This window comes from Homo sapiens, chromosome 18 (assembly GCF_000001405.40).
Source record: "Homo sapiens chromosome 18, GRCh38.p14 Primary Assembly".
Lineage (NCBI taxonomy): Eukaryota > Metazoa > Chordata > Mammalia > Primates > Hominidae > Homo > Homo sapiens.
In genome coordinates this window covers 6,315,404-6,341,392 of record NC_000018.10, presented here as the reverse complement: position 1 = coordinate 6,341,392, position 25,989 = coordinate 6,315,404, and the positions used below count along the sequence as shown (strand labels likewise).

General features: G+C 37.9%; 1 protein-coding gene across 30 annotated transcripts in view; it reads left to right on the top strand.

Moving 5' to 3' along the window:
• L3MBTL4 (L3MBTL histone methyl-lysine binding protein 4) overlaps positions 1 to 25,989 on the top strand; it is a 460,543-nt gene that overhangs the window by 73,867 nt on the left and 360,687 nt on the right. The window contains exon 1 of one of the 30 annotated variants that reach the window (XM_047437915.1): positions 12,260 to 14,957. The exons of the other annotated variants lie outside the window; for them this stretch is intronic. The gene's annotated coding sequence lies outside the window, so the exon portion shown is untranslated. Of the gene's footprint in view, positions 1 to 12,259; positions 14,958 to 25,989 lie in introns of those variants that run through there. 30 annotated transcript variants of the gene reach the window in all.

Genomic DNA, 25,989 nt, shown 5'->3' with positions numbered 1-25,989 from the left:
TTTCCCTTATATAATTTAGTTTTCTATCATTTTCTTCTCTTGTGGCTCACTGAGTTTTATTAAAGATAATTACTTTGAATTCTTTGTTGGGCAATTCATAGGTATCCATTTTTTTTAAGATCAGTCTCTGGAGCTTTATTTTGTTCTTTTGGTGGTATTGTGTTTTTTTGATTCTTTGTTTTCCTAGAAGCATTGCATTGTTTCTTTGCATTTGAATAAGTAGTCACCTCTTCCAGCCTTTACTGACTGGCTTCAAGAGAGAAAGACCTTCACCAGTGAGCTTGTCACTGGTGAGAGCTTCGTTAGTGAGACTCTCTAGATTCTGGAGGTCTCGAGACCTTATCAATGGACGCCCATACTCTACTGCTCTTGTTCCTTCTTACAGGAGAAGTCTTAGGATTGTGTGCCTTTTTTCAATCCCACAAAGCCAGGCCTGGAATGAGGGCCTCCTATTTATTTTCCCTAGTGCAGTGACCTGATGTGTTCAGATTGCACACATTATCCCAATCTAGCAGAGTTGGATTGGCTGCTAAGATCTGCACCTACTGTTGAGATGTGTGTGCTATCTGTAGGGGGCTCATGTGCATCATTGTGGGGACCTATAGGGGACTGTGCTTGGGGATGTGTGGGGCACAGGCCATTGTGGGAGTATGATGTGCCAGTGGTGTGGGTCAACTGGGTGCAAGGGCCCACAGGAGAGTCATTTTGAGGGATTTGTCAGTGAGTCTCTTGGTGGAGTTTGCTAGCTGATTAGCAGGATCCATGGCTGGCTGTTGTGATCTGTGCACTGGTTGCAGTGAGCCCCTGCCCCTTTGCCATGCTCTCAGCTGTCCCCAGATGATGCTATTGTACTCATCCCCTCAATATTCTTGGTTAGCAAGACAGAAGTGGGCCTGCTAGACAGCATGCCACAAGGCTGGAGAAGCTGGGTGCTCACTTTGCTCTTAGTTCCCCCTGTGGGAGAAATTCTGCGCCAAGGAGGCTTCTCTTGGCACTGAGCTGTGCCACCTTGGGGGAGAAGTGATGTGGGTAATGTGAAATTGCTTTTCACCCTTTTTAATGCATCTACTGTCAGATTTTTTTGCTTATCAAGCTGCTAGAAACTTAGCTAGACTCTGGGGTTCTCACAAAGTTATTTTTGTTTGTGGATAGTTGCCAAAATTGGTGTTTTTGTGGCAGTATGAGGGCTGGCATTTGCTATTCTGCCATCTTGCTTACATCCCTCCCTCTTTTTAAAAGGATTTTTAAAAAAGATGTTCATAAAAATTTGGTCTGTAATTTTCTCATAATGTTCTTAGGTTTTTAGGCTGTTGTTATTTTGGCCTCATAAAATAGATTGAGAAGGTTAATCCTTTTCTGTTCTCTGGAAGAATGTGAGCTTTGTGTTATTTTTAAAAAAATATTTGGAAGAATTCACTAGTGAAGCTCTCTGGGCTTGGAGATTTCTTTATAGAAAGATTTTAATAAGAGCTTCAATTTATTTTATGGACAAAGTAGAATTCAGATTTTTAACATTTTCTTGATTTGATATTTCATTTTTAAGAAATTTTATTCTATAATTTAATTTTTCAGATTAGTGAGAAGTTGTTTATGATGTTTTTATTACGTCTTTAATATATGTATGATCTGTAATCATATCCTTCCTTTCCCTGCCTGATATTGTCAGTTTGTATTTTCTTTTCTTTTGCTTTTTGTCTTGCCTTGAGTTTATCACTTTTATTAATCTTTTTAAAGAATAAACCTTTGGCTTTGTCTATTGTGCATTTTATTTCCATTCCATTGATATTTTCTCTTATAAAAATGATTTTCTTTTTAAAAAACTTTGCTTGCATTTGATTTTCTGTTCCTTTTCTAGCTCATGATGATAATCCATTTAAGGCTATACTTTCTTTCTAAGCACGAGATTTAGCTGCATCTCACAAATTGTGGTTTATCATATCTGAATTATTCAGTTGAAGCTATTTTCACATTTCTATTGTGATTTATTCTTTGATTATTTTGATATTAGAAGCATTCAATTTCCAAGCAGTTGAGGATTTTCTGTTAAATATTTCTGATTGATTTCTTGCTTGATTACATTGTGTTTAGATAATATTTTTTGAGTGACTATAATTAAACTTTTTTGAAGTCTGCTTTATGACCCAGCATACATAGTCAATTTTGGTAAATGTTTCAAGTGCTTTTGAAGGACATTTTTTTATTTTCTTTGTTGGTGCAGTGTTGTATACATGGACAAACTTGTGAACCGCATCATGTGGCCCTAATGATATGATGTTTGGGTCGGCGGAAGGGGCGGATCTGGTTGTTTTATAAGCTATTGATAGTGATAAGTCTCCAATATATTTGTGGGTTTGTTCATTTCTCCCTTTAGCAGTCAATTTTTGCTTTACATGTTTTGAAATTCTGTTAATGAGTACACAGTAATAGAGAATTCTTATTTTTTCATAAGGGATTATTGCCTCATATACTTATGAGGTGTTCTTTTAAAAAGTATTTGGTAATATTTCTTGCCTTACAGTCTAGGTTTTCTGGTATTAGTATAGTTTTATCAATCTTTTAAAAAGTTAGTTTTTTTCATGGTATGTCTTTTTATGTTAAAACATATTTTTCAAGTCTTTTATGTCTTTATATTTAAAGCATTTGTCCTGTAGGTAAACAAGTTTACTGTTTAGGTTTCTAACATCCACTCTGATAATTTTGGTTTTTTAATTAGAGTATTTGACTCCTTTACATTTAATAAAATTAATGACATTTGTTCATATTTGTCACCAACTCTTTGTCTTCTACTTGATACATTCTTTTGACCTGATATTTATCTATTTTTTTACTGGCCTTTGTGTTTACTATAATGATTAGAAATCTCTATCCTTTCTTTATAATTATATGAAACAATTTGTTGCTTAGTTTCCTTCTTTTTCCTTAGAAAATGTCAATTTAATTTTCCTTGTCATCTTTTGTATTATTGTTGATATGGATATTAATTCTAGACATAAGTATAACTCAGGACCCAATATTATTGTTTATCAGCATTGATTTATGTTTACCCACATGTTTACCTTTGTTGTTTTCATTTCTTTTTGCATTTCTGTGTTCTGTTGGGGATCATTTTTCTTCTACCTGAAGAACTCTCTCCTCTCCTCTCCACCATTCATTTTCCTTCTTTCCCTCCTTCTCCTCCTCCGCTTTTCTTCTCTCTTCCTCCTCCTCCTCCTCTTTCTCCTTCTCCATTTTCTTCTTCTTTTAGTATGGTTCTGTCGTCAGTGGATTGTTAAAGTTTTTGTTTGTTCAAAAACATCTTCATTTCAATTTTTATTTTTTGATAATATATTCATTGTTATAAAATTCTTGGTGAGTACTTAGGGTTTTTTTGGTTTGTTTTAAAACACTTTAACAAGGCCATTCTATTGTCTTATGGCTTTCATTGTTCCTGTTAGAAGTCAGCTCTATGTCTTATTGTTATTCATTGAAAGTAATGTATTCCCTTCTCCTTCCTCTCCATCCCATATTACTTTTAAGATTTTTTTCTTTGTGTTTATATTAGTACTCTTATTAGCATATGGTTAGATTTGGATTTCTTTATAGTTATCTTACTTAGGGTTTATAGAGCTTCTTTCATTTAAGTAAACTAGTCGCTGAACTTAAACATATATCTGTAAAAGTTCATCGAACATACGTGTTCAGCTTAGTGAGTTTTCACAAAGTAAACACATCCATGTGTCCAGCAACTATATTAAAAACAGAACATTCCCAGTACTTTAGAAACCCTTTCTTAGGTACTATTTTCTACAGATACTATTTTCTAAAGGTAATAGCTGTCTTGACTTCCCATGCTTTAGGTTAGTTTTGCCTGTTATTGAACTTTATATAAATAGCATTATATGGTATGCATCCCTTCAAGTCAAAATAATGTTTATGGTATTTATTGATGTAGATACATGTAGTTATAGTTTGTTTATTCTCATTACTATACATTGCTTGTTCATTCTGTTTAATGACTGTATCATAATTTATCCATTCTTCTCCTGAACATTTTGTTATTATAAGTACACTGTGAACATTCCTATATGTCTTTTGTTTGATATTTGTATGCATTTCCGTTCTAGGAATGTTGGTGAGAGTCTATTGTTTGGTGTTTTTCTCAGTTTTGGAACATTTTTGGCATTTTTCTCTTCAAAGGTCGATTCATTAGTTTTCTCATTTTTTTCCTTTTTGGGATCCCAATTACATTTTATGTCTTTTTATTGTGCCCTATATATTTTATGCTCCTTTTCTTTCCTTTTTATTCTTCCTCTCTGTTTAGTTTGGATATGTTCTACTGACTTGTTATGCAGATTACTGCAATGTCAATCTGTCGTTAAACCCATCCATCAATGAGTTTCAGATATTGTATTTTCCAGTTCTAGAATTTCCATTTGGTTCTTTTTACACATTCCAGATATCTGGTGAAATATACTGTCTTTCATTAATTTAATTTAATTTTCCTTAATTTTCTTGAACATAATTATTTTAAGGTCTTTGGTATTAGCTCTAATATCTGAATCACCTATGGATCTGTTCTAGTTTTAAGTCATATTATCTTACCTCTTACTACGCCTGTAATTTTTTATTGAATGCTAGGCTTTGAGTATAAAAAGTTATAGAGGTTGTAAATGTTACAAATTGATATTATTTTCCTCTCAAGAGAGTTCACCCTTTTTTCTGCAAGGCAGATGAATTTGGGGGATGTATCACCTTAAGCTAGCTGAGGTGAAGTTAGGTTACAGTTTCTGTAAGCCTCAGTCTATCTCTGGTTGGACCTTATTCCTCAAGCATTCCCCTCCACGAATTTACTGAGAATTCTGTTGTGTTCACCTCTTCTCCTTGTTGAGTTTTCATTGTTGATCTTTAGTCTTCATAGTACTATGTGACTGGTAGAAAAACTCTACTTTGCATTATAATGTTTATGGCTTAGCTTTTTTGCTTACCTTGCTAAATATTAGAGTAACACTCTTCATGTGTTTGAGGGTCTTCAAGTCTCCAATTTCGATCCTCTGGCCTCCGAAGATCACGTAAACTCTGCCATGGTCCTTTACCTGTGTAAATATAACCAGGAAAATGTCATATATTGACAGATTATCTCTCTGAGTTTCTCCTTTTTTTTTTGCTTTTAGGTAATCTTATACTTTCTAGTTCTTATTTCTTTCATAGCTCTCCAATGCCTTTATTAGTTTAGTATTTTATGTAGTCTCTTTTGTCATTCAAGAAAGTATTGGTTAGTCTGCCTTAAAGTATTACATCCTACTTAGATACCCTCAAAGAATGTTTATTTGCAAAATTAAACAGCATTTAGAAGCACTTGACATCACAGGGCTGGCCTGTGACTACTTGTGACCTTTCTTTTGAACCGTTAACTACTAGATTTGATTTAATACATGAATGAAGGAATTAAGGAGTGACTACATACAGCTTGTATTAGTCCGTTTTCACACTGCTATAAAGATATTACCTGAGACTGGGTAATTTATAAACAAAGGAGGTTTAATTGACTCACAATTCCACATGGCTGGGGAGGCCTCAGGAGACTTAAAATCCTTGTGGAAGGAGAAGCAGGCACCTTCTTCACAAGATGGCAGAAGAGAGTGGGAGTGTGTGAAGGAGGTATTGTCAAATGCTTATAAAACCATCAGATCTTGTGAGAATTCACTCACCATCAGAACAGCATGGCAGAAACTGCCCACATGATCCAATCACCTCCCACCAGGTCCCTCCCTTGACATGTGGAGGATTAGGGGGATTATAATTCAAGATAAGATTTGGGTGGGAACACAGAGCCAAACCATATCACAGCTGTTGGAAGAATAACCCAGATTTGATAGGTGATCTTTAATGCATATCATTACAGCAAAGAAGCATGCATTATTTTTATTTTGCAAATTGATTTTAGAGTAGTCATGACACTCTAATACCCATATAATTAGTTTGCTGTGATAGCATATTATTTTTATCTCTAAAAGAGCAATTGAGGACAGGCGCAGTGGCTCATACCTGTAATCCCAGCACTTTGGGAGGCTGAGGCGGGTGGATCACCTGAGGTCAGGTATTTGAGACCAGCCTGGCCAATGTGGTGAAACCCTGTCTCTACTAAACATGCAAAAATTAGCTGGGCGTGGTGGTGAGTGCCTGTAATCCCAACTACTCAGGAGGCTGAGGTAGGACAATTGCTTGAACCCAGGAGACGGAGGTTGCAGTGAGCTGATATCGTGCCACTGCACTGTAGCCTGGGCAACAGAGCAAGACTCCATCTCAAAAAATGAATAAATAAAGTAAAATAAAATAAGAGAGCAATTGATTTCTGAGAGCCTTGATACTTTAGAAAGACAAGCTTTGGAGAGACAAAGGTAAACCATTAACGGTTCAAGAGAGGTCTTGGTACATGCTTTTTTTAGTGTTGCTAGAGTTAGATTTTTCTTTCAGTGATTTTGGACGTATATAAAGGGGACATTTCAGAAATATATTTAATGATCTTATTTAAATCCAGACACAGATTTGACAGAGCAAAGATAAAAATACATAATTGTCAATAGACAGTTAAAATTACATGGGCAATATGGTAAGGAAATCAGCTCATATGTTTTTGGGAATCACAAAGAAATCTCCTTACCCCCAAACAAACTATATCTTTCATAAACTAGAAGGTAGATTTGCTATGTATGACATTCCTGTAAAAATTACTGTGTTTCCTCCACTATATTATTGCCTGTAAGCTGCTTCATTATTTTAAGGACCACTAGTAAGAAAAAACAATGCCAATTAAACAATTATATTTTGATGTTTTTAATCATGAGGAATGTATGTTCCTTTTTGAAGGAACTCCCCTTTACTTTTTAAACATATTTTTATTATCATTTTTGAACATATTTAAGAGAAAATTATTAGTTTAATAAACTAGACTTTTTTTAAAAAAACTTTGTCACCTTCCGAGTCTGAGTACTGAATCACTTTTGACTTAGAGTCACTGATGCCTGTGTTTTCCTGTAGAGTATCACCCTTTGTGCCCTTAGGGGTGTTAATGTTGAATCATTTCTTAAGAGGGTGTTTTAATATTGTCTCTGGGTTTTTCTTCCAAGCTATTGACATGCATTCCGCATGTGATGGTATCATCAGATAGTTTACCTGACACCAACTGGGACTCCTGTTCCTTTTTCAAATGGTCTTAGGTCAACGTTTGTTGACCTGAGCATCAAAAGGTTGCAGATGTTCTGTCAAGCTGCCAAGAGACACAGCCAAACCTGTGCTTAGGCAGGCAGTGATGACTACATAAGAACCACTACCTGGTTAGCAGCACTGCAAGACCGTCTTGATTTCACATGTGTCAAAATGTACAGAATGTGCTTTCTCAATCAAATATTGCATCGTTTGGAATGCTTTATGGCCACTTAATATCTGGCTACCTCATACATGATGTGTTCTATATTTCTGGCTAGAACACAGATAGTACAGATATATGTAACTTCTTGCAGACAGAATGGAGAGAAAGGATGAGTTCAGTGCACTTATTGGCATATTAATATTTGATATTTGAGGGTTACGGGGAAGATCATTGTAACATTATTGAGTGACTAGGAACATAAAGAGACACAGAGACCTTGAAAGTTGATGACAGAAAAAAGATGTCTTGTTTCCATTGATTTGCTGATTTGTTTGTGGTTGTTCTCTTACGGCTGGAGCTATGCTCCCAGTTATGTAAACACATACGTGTACATCTCTTCCCACCCCACCTGCATCCTGCTTCTCCATGCTAATCTTATTCATAAACAATTAGGTTTTTTTTTTTTTTTTTGAGATGGAGTCTCACTTTGTCGCCAGGCTGGAGTGCAGTGGCGCGATCTTGGCTCACTGCAACCTCCGCCTCCCAGGTTCAATTGATTCTCCTGCCTCAGCCTCCCACGTAGCTGGGACTACAGGCATGTGCCACACTGCACCTGGCTAATTTTTGTATTGTTAGTAGAGATGGGGTTTCACCATGTTGGCCAGGATGGTCTCGATCTCTTGACCTCGTGATCTGCCCGCCTCAGCCTCCCAAAGTGTTGGGATTACAGGCATGAGCCACCACGCCTGGCCCAATTAGATGTTGTTTTCTTTTTGGCACCAAAGCCTTACCTCTTTTTGCTTCTTCATTTTCTAAAACCCATTCATTATCATTATTATTGATTCCTACCCTTGAAAGTTTTCATACTTTTATTTTGTGGCAGCTCTTAATTTTCCTAAAATTTTAAATGCCATATGTTTTTTTTTTACATTTTAACTAATTAAAAAGAATTTTGTTTTAAATTGTTGTTTATATTTTTTTGAGGTCTTTTAAGGTAGTTGGAAGAACTCTTAAGACATTACAGAATGGAAATTGCATTCACAAAGTAGGGTATAGTTAATGAGTTAGAGTAACGTTGGGATTACAATCCAAATCTTTCTCAGTGTTTTAAATTGGAGAACTATTTACAGAGCATCTATTCTCATACTGTTGCTGCTGCTACTGCTACTGCTGCTTTCTAGCTTTCAACATTTTTATTAGTCTGGATTCTTCTAGTTGCAAAAAACAGAAATGGCTGAACCAGAAAAGGGAAGTTATTAGCTCACAAAACTGAGCAGCAGTACTGGGGTGGAGCTGGACCAGTCATGGCTGACTCTAGAGGCTAGTCACTCCCAACACTTGGTTCCACCTTCCTCTGCATTGTCTTTGGTCTGAATGGACCTTTCTTTTACTTAGCGGCCCCTGCAGATCTAGGCTTACATTCTATGAATCTAACAGTCCTAGATAAAGAGGTTCTTCTGCACAGTATTTCTGATAAGAATCCTAGAATTGAATCTCTTTGGTTTTGGTTAGGTTACATATCCATCCCTGAACCAATGACTGTGGCCAGGAGGGTAAATTTTATTGAATGGGCCCTTTCTGAGTTACCTGCCTACCCTGGAACCATGTGACTCAGCATGAAACTCCCCAAACTAAAAATCAGGTAGCTGGACAAAGAAAGAGGATGTTGGGCTGGCTAAACCGATAGGTTCTTCTTAACGCATTGTATTCTATGAGCAGCCCAGTGGTCTTCAGAACGTGTCAACTCTTTGGCTTATTTTAACCAAGAGGAGGATAGTTAAAACTTCAGTAGTGAGTCTTAATTAGATTCAGCAAAGTAGATCCTTACCTCAGCTCTGACTCGCTCAGGGCTTGTAGGGTAGCATTATTTCCCTGCTTTCAAATTATGTCAGTTCAAACCTGAAGGGTGAGAAGCTGATGACATGATATGAAGGCAGAATGTCAAGGTGAGAAGAGCCTTTCCCTGGGAGTCATGAGTCCTGAGTGCTATTTTCAGCTCTGAGAACATAGGCCAGTGATTTTTCTGCTGGATTGTGAGCTCCTGGAGGTCAGGGACTGTGCTTAATCTTGCTTTTTACATATTTCCTCTTTTTTTTTTTTTAATCTCGCCTTGTAAATCTACTGTTGGATATAAGTTATCTTAATTTATCCTCTATGTCTCTTCTCCTTGATACTTTTTAGCGCTTGATCTTCTTGTGCTTTATTTTGGGTGATTGTCTCCAATATACCAGTTTTCACTTCTAAAAAGTAAACTTATTTGACATACCTACAGATGCTTTCATACTGTATTATGCATTTTATTTCCAGATTTTGTATTTACTTCTTTTTCACATTTGCTCTTTTTAAAACCAAAAAATTGTTCGTATCTTACCAAGTTTGTTTTGTCACGTATTTCCTCACGAGTTTATACATACTTGATTTTAAGTTCCTCTAGGCTTTTTCTATTATAAAAATGTCTAGGGTATTCATGCTTCTGTTTGTTGCTTCTTATGACACTTAGGTTGGTGAGCTTCATTGTGGGCTTTCTAGTTTTAGTCCAAGAACTTATCTTCAGTGAGACTTTTTTTTCATACTAATTTTGAGAGCATCCCAGGTTGTTGAGGTATTGCTATGGGGCAGTTTTGTTATAATTGATTTGAGCTTTCTGCATTGCTGGGTAGGGGGAATTGGACCTCCACACCTATGTTTAGTACAAGCTTGGATCTCTGATCTCTCAGCGATTCTTGTTCCAACAGTGTTTTAATGGGGTGGTCCACCTCTGTGATACTGTCTAAGCCAGTGAGTGAAGGTTTATTAGTCATTAATCAAAGATAGGACAACCTTTTGGATGATGGAGACAATTTCTATCTCAAACCATGCATTTAGCTTATGGCTTCAGTTTCTATCCCCAGATAGGAATAAAAAGCAAAGCCCCTAATATGTATATCTGATTTAGTTCCTCAGTTGTTTTTTGTTTGTTTCTGACATTTCTGTTTTTTAATAATCCAGAACTGAGTTGTGTAATATAAATAATTTTGCTGTATTTTCCTAGTATTTCTTTTTTTCTCTGCATCTGCTCAGTTGACCTCTTGACCAGAAGTCACTTATTTTATATTTCTGTAGCCCCTAGTGTATTGTGTTGCACCAAGTGGAAAATAACTAGATATAGATTTACAACTTTTAAAATGTATTTTAATGTTTAGTAACTGCAAAAAGATTTTTTCTAGTTAGAATTATAAGGCTAACAAGAAATCAGATCTGCTACATAGAAAGAAAGAAGCTTGATTTTGTTTTATTATTATATAAAGTGTTTGTAGTAGAAGTTTTAAAAACACTTTCAGAATATATGCATACTATGGGAGGTAGAATCTTGACCCTCAAAGATGTCGATATCCTGCTCCTTGGAGCCTGTGAATATTATGTTGTATGGAAAGGTGGAAATAAGGTTGCCAATGAAATGAAGGTTGCTGATCAGCTGACTTTAAGGGAGATATTCTGGATTATTCAGGCGGACCCATGTAATTGCATAGTTCCTTTAAATGTGGAAGAGGGAAGCAGAAGAATCTGTGTCTGGGTGACATATCCTAAGAAGACTTGATCAGCCATTGCTGGCTTTGAAGATGGAGGAAGGGGTCACGAGCCAAGGAATGCTGGAAGCCTCTGGAACTGTGAAAGGCAAGAAAATGGATTATCTTCTAGAGCTTCTGGGCACACCCTTGGTGAAACCTTGATTTTTAGCCTAGTGGGATCTATTTAGGACTTTTGACCTCCTTAACTGTAAGATAATACATTTGTGTTGTTTTAGGCCACCAAGTTGGGGTAAATTGTTACAGCAGCAATAGGAAAGTAATTCACATACTCTGTGACATGAGAGTTCCACTCCTAGGCATGGACTTAACAGAAATGTACTGAATGTATGTTTCAGCAAAATAAGTATAGTAGATTGTTTAAGTAGCATTATTTGTAGTATCCCAAAGCTAGAAATTACTCAAATACTCATCAGCAACAAAAGGGATAAATGTGTTTTACACACTCTACTACAATACTATACAAGAGGAAAGGTGAACTGTCTACATCTGCATACAACAGTATGGATGGGTGTCACAAACATTATGTTAGTAAAAGAAATGAGACACAGAAAACTATGCATACTGATATGATTTGAATGTTTGTCCCCTCCAAAACTCCTGTCGAAACTTAATCCCTAATATGGCAATATTGAGAGGTGCTCAGCATTTAAAAGGCAAGAGCCTTGAATGGATTAATCCACTTGTGGATTAATAGATTAATGGGTGAATGGATTAATGGGTTATCATGGGAGTGGAAATGGTGACTTCATAAGAAGAGGAAGGAGACATGAGCCAACGTGCTCAGCCCCCTCACCATGTCATACCTGTGCACCTTGGGACACTGTAGACAGTTCCCACCGCAAGAAGGCCCTCACCAGATGTGCCCCACTCAACCTTGAACTTCTCAGCCTCCATAAGTGTAAGAAATAAATTCCTTTTCTTTATAAATTACCCAGTTTCATGTGTTATGTTATAAGCAACAGAAAATGGACAAAGACAAATACTCTGTAATTCCATTTCTAGAGTGTATAAAAAGAAACAGAAGGCTGGGTGCGGTGGCTCAGGCCTGTAATCCGAGCACTTTGGGAGGCTGAGGCGGGTGGATCGTGAGGTCAGGAGATAGAGACCATCCTGGCTAACAGGATGAAACCCCGTCTCTACTAAAAATACAAAAAATTAGCCGGGCGTGGTGGTGAGAACCTGTAGTCCCAGCTACTCGGGAGGCTGAGGCAGGAGAATGGCGTGAACCCAGGAGGCGGAGCTTGCAGTGAGCCGAGATCGCACCACTGCACTCCAGCCTGGGCGACAAAGCCAAACTCCGTCTCAAAAAAAAAAAAAAAAAAAAGAAAAGAAAAAAAGAAACAAAAGAAACAGAAGTCATCTATTGTGTTGGAAGGTGGGACAACCATCAAGATTTGCCTTGATTGAAGTAGTGACCAAGGGTACACATTCACATGTTCTGTTTCTTGATTTGGAAGCTAGTTACATGTGTTCAGTGCATGAAAATTTATTGAGCTGTGGCCTAAGCTGTTATGCATTTTTCTGCATGTATGTTACACTTCAATTTTTAAAAATAATATATTCCCAAACGTGGTCCCATTTTCCAGCAGAGCTCTGTGTATTCAGTGTGGGTGAGGCTTCATGAGGCTGTGATTTGCCTTTGTCTCCCTGCCAGCTAAGCTGGAGAGTCAGAGCTAGAACTTGTGTGACTGGATGACTTTTCCACTACTTCATTCTGACTTCTCGCCTGTCACCACATCAGATTAGAAAAAGTTTCCGTGGTACTAGTTTTTTATTTGCTGAATGAAAATTCTAATTAATAAATTCACAAAAATCTAATGCTATTCTGAAATGCTCCTAGTAGAGACATGTTCTAGCAACAAAATAGTTTGATTTTATTTCTGCATATAGCGTGTTTTCATGTCATTTAATGTTGTATGTCATTTTGGCAGCAGTGCTAGTTGTCATGATTCAGTGCCAGTGTATTAAAGATATTCCTGGAAGGCAGTTTATTTGAACAGTGCTTAGTGGTGTGATATTAGGAACATTCAATTTTGGCAAGGCTTCAGAGAGGCATTTGTTGGAAAATCTGTTGTAATGAGTATAGTCTGTCCTTCTCAATAAGCTATGAAGTGGTCTATTGTTTAAAATTTAGATTCCAGTTCTAGCTCTGCTACCAGCTAGTCACATGAGCTTAGGCAAGTCATTGATTTACACACTTTCCCACTAACTACCTGACAGTCAAATATGTATGTTAATATTACTCCTATGCATGAAACACATGCTTTGCTACTATAATGTAGCCAGGGGCAGCAGCAATATACTTTTAGAAATGGAGCCATTAGGTAAGGTGTTACATGTTGGAGATAGACAAATTGCAGCTTTGCTGTTACTGGCAGTGTCACCTTGAGCTACTTCAGTGTAAAGAGGCTGTTGCCAGGCTGCCACCATGTGCTTGGCACACAGTAGGAACTTACTTAATAAATGCAGTTACAGGGATGATGATAATTATGATTTGTTAAATGTCTTCATTGTTTTTTAAGGTTCTGAGCAAATGATTGCTGTTGAGGGAGTACATAACGTGGTTACTTGATGATGATATTCAGGGGCAAATGAGACCTCTAAAGAAATAAATATGAGAACGTATAAAATTCCTCCTATAACCTACCCCTAATGTTGAATTTTTGTTTTAAATATTCAAATATGCAGTGAAGTATAGAGAATAAGAAAATGAACAACTCTACGCTGGCTGTCCAGATTTACTAATCTCAGTATTTTGCCGCACTTGCTTCTGCTTTTTGAAAGAAGTGAAGCATTGCAATTACACTTGAAGTCTCCTGTCCCCAAACCTGTATATCTTCATCCCTCCTGAGACATAATTGCTATGCTGTCGTTGGTCTCCTTTTCAGCAGTGTTGTTACATTTTAACCTGATGTGTGTGTGTATCTATAAGCAAACATTACATAAATGATATATGGCATGTATCATCCTGCACCCTTTTCTCTTGGTTCAAATATATTTTATAGAGTTATCTGTGATAGAATATATATCACTGTAGCTCTTTTAAGTGCTGTATAATATTCCATTTTTGAATATATCACAATTTATTTATTCATTTTCCTACTGATGGGTGTTTGGGTATTATCATATATTTCCTGTTACAGACAAAAGCCACGATAAACATTGTACCTTTTGCACATGTGCTAGAGGTTTTCTATCTATCTAGAAACAGCCAGGTTCTAGGCATGCATAGTTCCAGCCTTACTCAGCTTTGTTAGATATTCCCAAGTGCTTCATCAAGTAGTTGTACCAATTTTCACCTCCTCAGCAGGATGTGAGAGCTCCTGATGCTTGCTTCACACTCGCTTCAACACTTGGTGAGCCTTACCTTTACCAGTCATTTTCCTGGGTAGAAGAGGATACTTATATTTAATACGCATTTCCCTGCTTTCTAGTAATAGTGCGTTTCTTTTCCTGTGTTTATTATTTTTCCTTTTTCTAAGTGTTGCCTGTATTCTTTTACAGTTATTTTCCCCTGTGCATAACTGAAAGATCATGTATGTAGTTATTACAGTTAAATCAGGGTCATTGGAAGGAGTAGACAAATTAATGAACATACAATGCTTAATGTACTGTCTGTCCTATAGTAAGAAGAAATTAATATTGCTGACGCCCTTGGAATGCCCAATAATGACATCATCAATAACAATACTTATCAGTGGAACAGAATTTCAGACCTCGGCAACCATTCTACATTCCTCTTACATTGTAGCCATGCAGTTGGATATGACAAGTATGCACAACTAGCTGATGACATCTCATAGCCCAGAGTGGGAAGCAGCCTTTCCTCCTCTACTCATCATCCATCTCTCTTACTCATAGAACCCTGCTTTCCTTTATGGGAATTATGAGAGAAGACTTAGGGTTTTCCAGGAGGCAGATCCTCCATTTCCCCATGGCTTTGTCCAAGAGTGCAGGAAGAAGATCTAAGATTGGTCAATTGGATGCTCTTTCCCAGGACTTTGGCTTGAGGGACAGAGACTCTAGCAAGAAGGGAACAGGTAAATTAGTTAGTTCACTCATTCCAGGGGCTTCAGCAGCAGAAGAAATGGGGTGCCATGCTGATCAGGCTGGTTTAGCCATGGGATGTTTGGTCTGCCATCTGCTTTCTTGATCACTTTGTTTCTGTCTGATCTTGTCACAGATGTTAAATCTCTGAGCCTTGGATATTCTTACAGTAGACACCTTTTTTGCTTAAGAGAGCCAGAGTCAGTTTATCTTTCTTGTGATTTCCGTATTTTGTCTCTGCTCAGATTTCATTCAGTGGAGTTAGAAATGCCAGGGCGCAGCTTATGCCCTGTGTCAAGAAGGAGTAAGATGGAGGAGGCTGATGCCCTGGTTCAGTCATAGACTCCTCCTTCCTTCAGAATAGTGTGATCTAATGAAGGTGGATGGTTAGGAGCAGTGCATGCACCCTATCTTCTGCCTGTTACTGACTGTACATGGTATGTTCTTACAAAAGATCTGGTGAGATACTTGTTTTTCCCAATCAGAAAAGGAGCAAGCCTTGCTGAAAAAGGGGTTTCAAAGCAGAAAAATGGACTGTTCAGTTAAAAGAAAACATACTGTGTCCACTATTTTACCTGTATCAACTTTTCTTTCTTACATTAGATGACTAGGGTACACCATTTCAAAGGACTTTAAGAAATCTTATAATATTGTATTTATACAAGGCAACATACATATTTCAATATGTAAGTCATGAAGTATAATAAATGTATATCTATAAAGCCACCATCCAGCTTAAGAATGAAAACATGATACTAATTTTCCTCCCCAACTGCTATGCTGAATTTTTTGTTTCCTATTTCCATGCTTCTTCAAAAAATCTTTACTGTATAAGTAAAAAGGCAGTTTACTTTATATATACTACTTATATAGTTTGCCGTATATATCTAAGGTACATATTAAGGGCTTTTGCTTGATTTTGTATTTTAAAAATGGTAGTATAAAGCTGGGCATGGTGGCATGCACCTGTAATCTCAGTTACTGGGGAGGCTGAGTCAGGCGGATCACTTGAGCTCAGGAGTTTGAGTTCAGCCTGGGCAACATAGCAAGATACCATCTCTCAACAAAAGTAGTATATAGTCTTTTGGCTTGCTTTGCTCATTCAACATTATTGATAATATTTATATTCTTGCATATGTAGTCGCAGTTGATTTATTTTCATTGTGTAATGTTATATTGTCTGAATATGCCACAGTTTATTTTCTCAGATTCCTGTTGATAATTGTTTTCATTTTTTTCCCATTAACATGAACTTATCTCTTAATTTTGTGTAATTGCTGGAGCCCTGGGGTCATGGAATTTGCTGGAATTATCTTCAACTTTCAAGTTCATGCTGAGTTGCTTTTTTATGGGTTGCAACATTTAATCTTCTTCCAGCAGAGTATGAGAGTTGTCATTGCTCCTCAACCTTGCCAACATCTAGTAGTGACAGACTTCTTAATTTTTGTCATTCTAGTGGGGATGCATTGGTAGCTCATTGTGGTTTCTTTCTCATTTTCCTGATTACTAATGAAGTTAAGCAACTTTTCATAAATTTTGGTGTGAAGTGCATATTCAAAGCTTTGCCCTTTTTTTGTGTAGATTGTTCTGTCTGCTATTGCTATAAAAATACTTCAAAATTCAATGTCTTAAAATAACACATTAGTAGATCTTTAGGCCACTCATGATTGGGCTGATGATCCAGGCTGGGCTTGACTGCATGGTTTTATAAAAGGCTTCATTTCAGGCTCCGGTGTGTTCTACCTGTGTTTGCTCTGGGGGCCCACTCTAAAGGAGCAGAGGCTAACTAAAGCGTGATCTTTTTAATGGTAAGTAACTGCAGTGCCATGAGCTGAAAACAAGCTGCACACCCACATTTTAAGCGTCAGCTTGCCCTGCATCTGCCATTGGTCAAAGCAAGTCATAGCACAAGCCTGAGTTGAGTGCCTTTGGTCCAACAAGGACTCAGGAGCCTCAGCTCCTATGACTTTGCAAGGTTCAGCCCCTGTGGCTGCTCTCAGGGCCTGGCACTGAGTGCCTGCAGCTTTTCCAGGAGCATCGTGCAAGCTGTAGGTTGCTTTACCATTCCAGGGTCTAGAGGGCAGTGGCCTTCTTCTCATAGCTCCACTAGTCAGTGTTCCAGTGAGTACTCTGTGAGACCTCCAACCCCACATTTCCCCTCTGCACTGCCCTAGCAGAGGTTTTCTGTGAGGACTCCACCACTGCAGCAGGCTTTTGCCTGAATGTCTAGGCTTTTCCATACGTTGTCTGAAATCTAGGTAGAGGCTCCTGAGCCTCAATTCTGTGCACCTGTGGGCTTAACACCATGTGGAAGCTGCCAAGGCTTATGGCCTGTACCCACTGAAGTAGTGGCACAAGCTGTATATGAGCCCCTTTGAGCCATGGCTGGAGCTGGAGTGGCTGGGATGCAGGGAGCAGTGTCCTGAGGCTGCACAGGGCAGCAGAGGCCCCTGGGTGTGACGCACAAAACCATTCTTCCCTCCTTGGCCTCCAGGCCTGTGATGGGAGGGGCTGCCAGGAATGTCTCTGAAATGCTTTCAGGGCCTTTTCCCTATTGTCTTAGCTATTAGGATCTGGCTCCTCTTTTCTATGCAAATTTCTGTAGCCTGCTTGAATTCTTTCCCTGAAAATGGTCTTTTCTTTTCTACCACATGGCCAGGCTGCAAATTTTCCAAACTTTTACACTCTGCTTCCTTTTTAAATATAACTTCCAATTTCAGGTCATATCTTTGCTCACACATATGAGCATAGGCTGTTATATGAGCCTAGGCTGTTAGAAGCAGCCAGGCCACCTCTTGAAGGCTTTGCTCCTTAGGAACTTTTTCCACCAGATACCCTAAGTCATACCTCAAGTTCAAAGTTCCAGAGATCCTTAAGGCAAGGTCACAATGCAGCAAAGCTCTTCGCTAGTGCTTAACAAAGTGACCTTTGCTTCATTTCCCAATAACTTCATTTCCATCTGAGATCTCCTCAGCTTGTACTTCAGTGTCCATATCACTATCAGCATTTTTGTCACAACCATTCAAGAAGTCTCTAGGAAGTTCCAAACTTTCCTTCATCTTCTTATCTTCTTCTGAGCCCCCTAGACTCTTCCAGCCTCTGCCTGTTATCCAGTTCCAAAGCTGTTTCCACATTTTCAGGTATCTCTATAGCAATGCTCCACTCCTTGGTATGAATTTTCTGTGTTAGTTCATTCTTGCATTGCTATAAAGAAATACCTGAGACTGGGTAATTTATTAAGAAAAGAGGTTTAATTGGCTCATGGTTCTACAGTCTGTACAGGAAGCATGGTGGCATCAACTTCTGGGGAGGCCTCAGGAAACTTACAGTCATGGCAGAAAACAAAGGAGAAGCAGGCATTACTTACATAGCTGGAGCAGGAGGAAGATAGAGAATGGGGAGGTGCTACACACTTTTAAACAATCGTATCTCATGAGAACTTACTCACTGTTACCAAGACAATACCAAGGGGGAATTCTGCCCTCATGATCCAATCACCTCCCACAAGGCCCCACCTCCAACACTGAGGATTACAATTCAACATGAGATTTGGGCAGGGACACAGATCCAAACCGTATTTACTGAAGTCACCCTGTTGTGCTATCAAATACTAGATCTTATTCTTTCTAACTATTTTTTGGTACCCATTTACCATCCTCAGTTCTGCATCACCCTCCACTACCCTTCCCAGCCTTTGGTAACTATAATTCAGTTCCACCCATGTTGTTGCAAATGACAGGATCTCACTTTTTATGGTTGAATAATACTCTGTTGTGTATATGTACCTCATTTTCTTTATTCATTCATCTGTTCATGGATACTTAGGTTGCTTCCAAATCTTGGCCCTTATGAGTAGTGGTTCAGTAAACATGGGAGTGCAGATATCTCTTTGATATACTGTTTGTTTGTTTTTTTTTTCCTTCTTTCCTTCCTTCCTTCCTTCCTTCCTTCCTTCCTTCCTTCCTTCCTTCCATCCTTCCTTCTTTCCTTCCTCCCTCCCTGCCTCCATTCTCTCTTCCTTTCCTTTCCTTTCCTTTCATTTTCTTTCTTTTTCTTTTTCTTTCCTCTCTTTCTCTTTCTTTTCTTTTTTTGAGACAGGGTCTCACTCTGTCACCCAGAATGGAGTGGAGTGCCATGATCCTGGCTCACTGAAGTCTTGACCTCCAATGCTCATGCAATCCTCCCACCTCAGCATCTCATGTGCTGCCATGCCTGGCTAATTTTTTTTTAAATTTGTATATATGAGGTTTCACTGTGTTGCCCACGCTGGTCTTGAACTGCTAGGTTCAAGCAGTTCTCCTGCCTGTGCCTCCCAAAGTTCTAGTATTACAGATGTGAGCCACCATGCCCATCCTTATTTCCTTTCCTTTTATAAAAAAATATTTTTATTACAATAGCTTTTAGTTTTTGATTACCTGGATAAATTGTATAGTGGTGAAGTCTGAGATTTTAGTTCATCCATTACCTGAGTAGTGTACATTATACCAAATATGTAGTTTTTTTTTCTCCCTCACCCCCTTTCTAGCCTCCCCGTTCTGAGTCTCCAAAGGTCATTATACCACAGAGTATGCCTTTGTGTCCATAGCTTGGCTACCACTTATAAGTGAGAACATGTGGTACTTGGTTTTCCATTCCTGAGTTATGTCACTTAGAATAATATCCTACAGCTCCATCCAAGTTGCTGCAAAAGACATTATCTCATTCATTTTTATGGCTGAGTGGTATTCCATGGTGTATATATACCACATTTTATTTATTCACCCACTGAACGATGGTACTTAGGTTGGTTCCATATCTTTGCAATTGTGAATTGTGCTTCAATAAACAATGTATATGTCTTTTTGATATGACTTCTTTTCCTTTGGCTAGATACCCAGTAGTGGGATTGCTGAATTGAATAGATCTTTTAGTTTTTAAAGAACTCTCCATAGTGTTTTCCATAGAGGTTGTATTAACTTACATTCCCACAAGCAGTGTATAAATGTCCTCTTTCCACCACATCCACACCAACATCTATTGTTTTTGATGGGATTATTTGTTTTTTTCTTGCTGACTTGTTTGTGTTCCTTGTAGATTCTGGATATTAGTCCTTTGTTGGATGCATAGTTTGCAAATATCTTCTCCCATTCTCTGGGTTGTCTGTTTATTCTGATGATTATGCCTTTTGCTGTACAGAAGCTTTTTTGTTTAATTAGGTCCCATTTATTTATTTTTGTTTTTGTTACATTTGCTTTTGGGGTCGTAGTCATAAATTTTCTGCCTAGGCCAGTGTCTGCAAGAGATTTTCCAGGTTATGTTGTAGAATTTTTATAGCTTCAGGTCATAGACTTAAATCTTTGATTATCTTGAGTTGATTTTTGTGTAAGGCGAGAGAGAGGGATCCTGTTTCATTCTTCTACATGTGGCTATCCAGTTTTCCCAGCACCATTTATTAAATAGGGTGGCCCTTCCCCAGTTATGTTTTTGTATCCTTTGTTGGTTTTAAGTATTTGGCTTTATTTCTGGGTTCTCTATTCTGTTACATTGGTCCTCATGCCTATTTTTATACCAGTACCATGCTGTTATGGTAACTATAGCCTTTTGGTATAATTTGAAGTTCAGTAATGTGATACCTCTGGATTTATTATTTTTGCTTAGGGTTGCTTTGGTTATTTTGGCCCATTTTTGGTTCCATATGAATTTTAGGATTGTTTTTCCTAATTTTGTGAAAAATAATGTTGGTATTTAGATAAGAATTACATTGAATTTGTAGATTGTTTTGAGCAGTATGGTCATTTTCATGATATTGATCCTTCCAATTCATGAGCATGGGATGTATTTCCATTTGTGTCATCTGTGATTTCTTTCAGCAGTGTTTTTTAGTTCTCTTCATAGAGATCATTCATCTCCTTGGTTGCATGCAGCTATTATAAAGGCGTTTGGGTTCCTGATTTGATTCTGCTTGGTCATTGTTTGTGTATAGCAGTGCTATTGACTCGTATACTTTGATTTTGTAACCTGAGACTTTACCGAATTAATTTATCAAATCTAGGAGACTTCTGGAGGAGTCTTTAGGGTTTTCTAGATATATAGTCATTTATTTTGACTTGGTCTCTTCCAATGTGGATGCCCTTTATTTCTTCCTCTTGACTGATTGCTATGGCTATGATTCCAATACTCTGTTGAGTAGAAGGGATGAAAGTGGGCATCCTTGTTTTAGTTCTCAAGGGCGAATGCTTTCAACTTTTCCCCATTTAGTATGATGTTGGCTGTAAGTATGTCATACATGGCTCTTGTTATTTTGAGGTGTGTCCCTTCTATGTCTAGTTTGTTGAGGGTTTTTTATCATAAAGGGATACTGGAGTTTTTATAATTTATTTTTTCTACCTATATTGAAATGATCATATGGCTTTTGTTTTTAATTTTGTTTATGTGATATATTACATTTATTAACTTGCATGTGTTAAATCATCCCTCCGTCTCTGGAATAAAACCCACTTGTTCATGGTGTATTATCTTTTGATGTGCTGTTGGATTTGCTTAGCTAGCATTTTGTTGAGGATTTTTGCATCTATGTTCATCAGGGATATTGATTTGCAGTTTTCTTTTCCTTTATTTATTTATTTTTTGATATGCCCTTTCCTCATTTTGGTATCAGTGTTACTGGTTTCCTAGAATGAGTTAGGGAGGATTTCCTCTTTCTCAGTCTTTCAGAATAGTTTCAGAAGGACTGGCACCAATTCTTTGAATGTCTGGTAAAATTCAAGCTGTGAATTCATCTTGCTCTGTGCTTTTTTTTGTTGACATTTTAAATATTACGATTGAAACTTACTGCTTGTTACTGGTCTGTTCAAGGTTTCTATTTCTTCCTGATTTAATCTAGGAGGGGTGTATGTTTCTAGGAATTTATCCATTTCCTCTAGATTTTCTAGTTTGTGTACATAGAGGTGTTAACAGTAGTCACAAATGATTTTATATATTTCTATGGTTTTGGTCGTAATGTCATCATTTTCATTTCTAATTGAGTTTATTTGAATCTTTTTATTGTATTTTATTTTTATTTTTGGTTAATCTAGCTAATAATGGTCTATCAATTTTGTTCATATTTTCAAAGAAGCAGCCTTTGGTTTCATCGACTTTTTTGTTGTTGTTGTTGTTTCTATTTCACTTAGTTCTACTCTGATCTTTGTCATTTCTTCTGCTAGCTTTGGATTTAGTTCTTCTCTCATAGTTCCTTGAGGTGTGACATTAGGTTGTCAGTCTGTGAACTTTCAGACTTTCTTATGGGCATTAACATTGTAAACTGTACTCTTAGCATTGCTTTTGCTATATCCCAGAGGTCTTAATAATTTGTGTCACTGTTGTCACTCATGTCAAAGAATTTTTAAATTTCCATCTTGGTTTCGTTGTTAACCCCAAAATAATTCATGGGCAGATTGTTTACTTTCCATGTATTTATATAGCTTTGAGGTTCTTTGTTGAGTTAATTTCCAGTTTTATTCTACTGTGGTCTTGGAAGATACTTAATATGATTTTGATATGTTAAAATGTATCAAGACTTGTTTTGTGGCCTGTTATATGGTCTATCTTGGAGAATGCTCCATATGCTGATGAGAAGAATGTATATTCTGCAGTTCTTCGGTAGAGTGTTCTATAAATATATGTTAGCTTCATTTGTTCTATCATGTAGTTTAATTTCATTGCTTCCTTGTTGACCTTCTGTCTCGATGAGCTGTCTAGTGCTGTCAGTGCGGTGTTGAAGTCCCCCAGTATTATTGTGTTGCTGTTCTATCTCATTTTTTAGGTCTAATAGTAATTGTTTTATGAATCTGGGAGCTCCAGAGTTAGGGGCATGTAAATTTAGGATTGTAATATCCTCTTGTTGGATTGATCCTTTTATTATTATATAATGACCTTCTTTGTCTTTTTTTTTTTTTTTTTTTTTTTTTTTTTTTACTATTGTTGTTTGAAAGTCTGTTTTATCTGATATAAGGATAGTAACTCCTGCTAGCTTTTGGTTTCCATTTGTGTGGAATATCTTTTTTCACCACTTTACCTTGAATTTATATGAATCTTTACATATTAAGTGGGTTTCTAAAATACAGATATTTGGTTTATGATTTTTCTATCCATTCTGCCAATCTGTATCTTTTAAGTGGAGCATTTACACCATTTACTTTCAACATTAATATTGAGATGTGAGGTACTGTTCCAGTCATCATGTTAATTGTTACCTAGATGGTTTGTTTTCTTATTGTGTTATTGTTTTATAGGCCCTGTGAGTTTTATGCTTTCAAGAGATTCTATTCTAGTGCATACTGAGCTTCTGTTTGAAGATTTATAACTCCTTTTAACCTTTCTCGTAGGGCTGGTCTGGGGTACTGACAAATTCCCTCGGCATTTGTTTGTCTGAAAATGACTTTATTTCTCCTTCATTTTGAAATTTAGTTTTGCTGGATACAGAATTCTTGGCTCTCAGTTATTCTGTTTAAAGAGGCTAAAAATAAAATCCCAATTCCTTCTGGCTTTTAAGATTTCTGCTAAGAAGACTGCTGTTAGTTTGATAGATTTTTCTTTATATGTTACCTATTGCATTTTGTCTCACTGCTCTTAGAATTCTTTCCTTCATGTTGACTTTAGATAGCTTGATGACTATATACCTTGGTGATGTCCTTTTTGCAGTGAGTCTCCCAGGAATTTTTGAGCTTCTTGTGTTTGGACATCTAAATCTCTAGCAAGACCAGGGATGTATTCCTCTATTATTCCATCAAGTAATTTTTCTAAACATTTTGTTTTCTCTTCTCCCTCAGGAACACCAGTTATTTTTAGGATTGGACCTTTTACATAATCCCAAGTTCCCTGGAGAGTTTGTTCATTCCTTCTTATTTATTTTTTAAATTTTTGTTTGATTGGGTGAACAAAAGCCTTATCTTCGAGCTCTGAAATTTTTTCTTCTACTTGATCAGGTCTGTTGTTAAAGTTTCCCATGCATTTTTAAACTCCCTAAGTGTGTCTTTCATTTCCAGATGTTCTGATTGGTTTTTCTTTAAAATATGTATCTCTTTATAACATTTTTCATTTATATCTTGAATTTTTTTTTCATTTCTTTATGTTAGTTTTCACCTTTCTCTGGTATCTGCTTGAGTAGCTTAGTAATCAACCTTTTGAATTTTTTATCTGGTATTTCAGAAGGATGTGACTTACATGTTTATAGTTTATTATAGCCTAATTTGGCTCTTAGTGCTTTTAGTACTGAGTAATTTGTATGGGTTCCTTGGTTATAGTGAATCTTTGTATTGTGGCTTTCCCAGACGCCTCTTGTAGTAACAATGTGCTCAGTGTGTGAACAAGTTCAGCATCTCCTATGGGGTTGGAATGGCAGAGATCTCTTGAAGCTTATCTTGTTTCCCCACAGTGTGCATTTATTTATTTATTTATTTATTTATTTTGTACCAGTATTTTATTTATTTACTGGGTTGAATAGTTAAAGCTTCAGGCCAGTATGGGAAGTATCCCTGGGTAGAAACTGGTTGTGGCTAAAGCAGGTGGCTAAATGCAGTACCCAATAGTGGGCAGATGTCCCAGCCCTGACAGAGGTGGCTGGGGGAGCTTTCAGTGAAAAACACTGAGGTCTCATCAGGGGGAAGGGTGGGAGCCACCTTAGTTCTTCTGCCAGGCCAGCAGGAAAGTGATCCAACTCCCAGATGCACTCCTGACCCAATGTTCCAGCTATTCCTATCAGACAGGCACCTGTTTTCATGTCTAGGAATGTTGATGTTCCAAGTAGAGAGGAGTTGTGACCACCTCTTGTGTAAGCCTGAATCTGGAGGGCACTCCTAATGTGAGGATGCTGTCACCCTAAAGTGTTCCAGAAAGGCTGTCTATAGATACACCCATATCAAGCTCTTGTGGGAGAAGCCCCAGCTGTGTTTGCAGTAATGGATAAGAGAGAAAAGAAGTCCCCTTCTCCAAGACCCTTCACGAGCACCAGCATTGCACTAATGCCTCTGCTGAAAGAAACTTCCCGTGAGCAGAATGTTCTGGGACTCAAGGCCTGGTATCCAGACTCTTTTGTCCTATGGGGTGTTCCCTTGATGTGGTGCACTTCCCCTTCCCCTAGGAGTTGGTGTCCCTGAGAGCCAGACCACTGTGAACACTGCTATTCCTCTGGGTGTAGCCACCCCATAGGGCTGCCACATTTCAGGCTGTTGGTGAAGATTATCTGCAAGGGGTCCAGTGATGTGACCTGTCCTTATGTCTCCCAGCAGTAGGCACCGGCACTAGCTCCGATGGGGGTGGCAGGGGAGTGGCATGGACTCCGTGAGAGTGACGTAACTGTTTCCTTATGTCTCCCAGCAGTAGGCACCAGCACTAGCTCCGATGGGGGTGGCAGGGGAGTGGCATGGACTCCGTGAGAGTGACGTAACTGTTTAGAAAGTTCTGAGCTGCAGACAACCTCTGTTGATACCCTTTGGACCCTGAATCTTGGGACTTCCTGTGCTATTCTCATAAAGTATTATGCAAGACTTATGGGTGCAGAATTAATACATAATTAACTATTAATATTTTAAGATTCCAAAATAGGTAATAAAGGCAAAATTTTTTAAAAAATGAGAGTAGGTGGCTGCCATGACATAAGGAAAGTGACAATATGAAGCCACTATGCAGACAGGCTCCACATGAGGGCGAGTGGTTCCCACAGGACGTTTGGTGTCAGTTTCTGACTTAAATCATTGTGTGTGGCAAGGATTTGGCTAGCGTACTGAGTGGTTAAGTTTCAGATAACTAAACTTGCAATATAGTTAAAAAAGCTACAGCATAGTATGGTGTTCAAAGAGGGACCCCAGAATTGTACTGTCTGGTTACTTGCCTGTTGCATAACCTTGGACAAGTTACTTAACCCCTTGGTGTTTCCTCTTCTGTGAAATGAGGGTGACAGTGGTACACATATTGTCGGGCTGTCATAAGTATTAATTGAAAGTGTATACGTAGAGGACTGATAGCTATGCCTGGTACATGAGGACTCAAGTAATGTTAGCTACTATT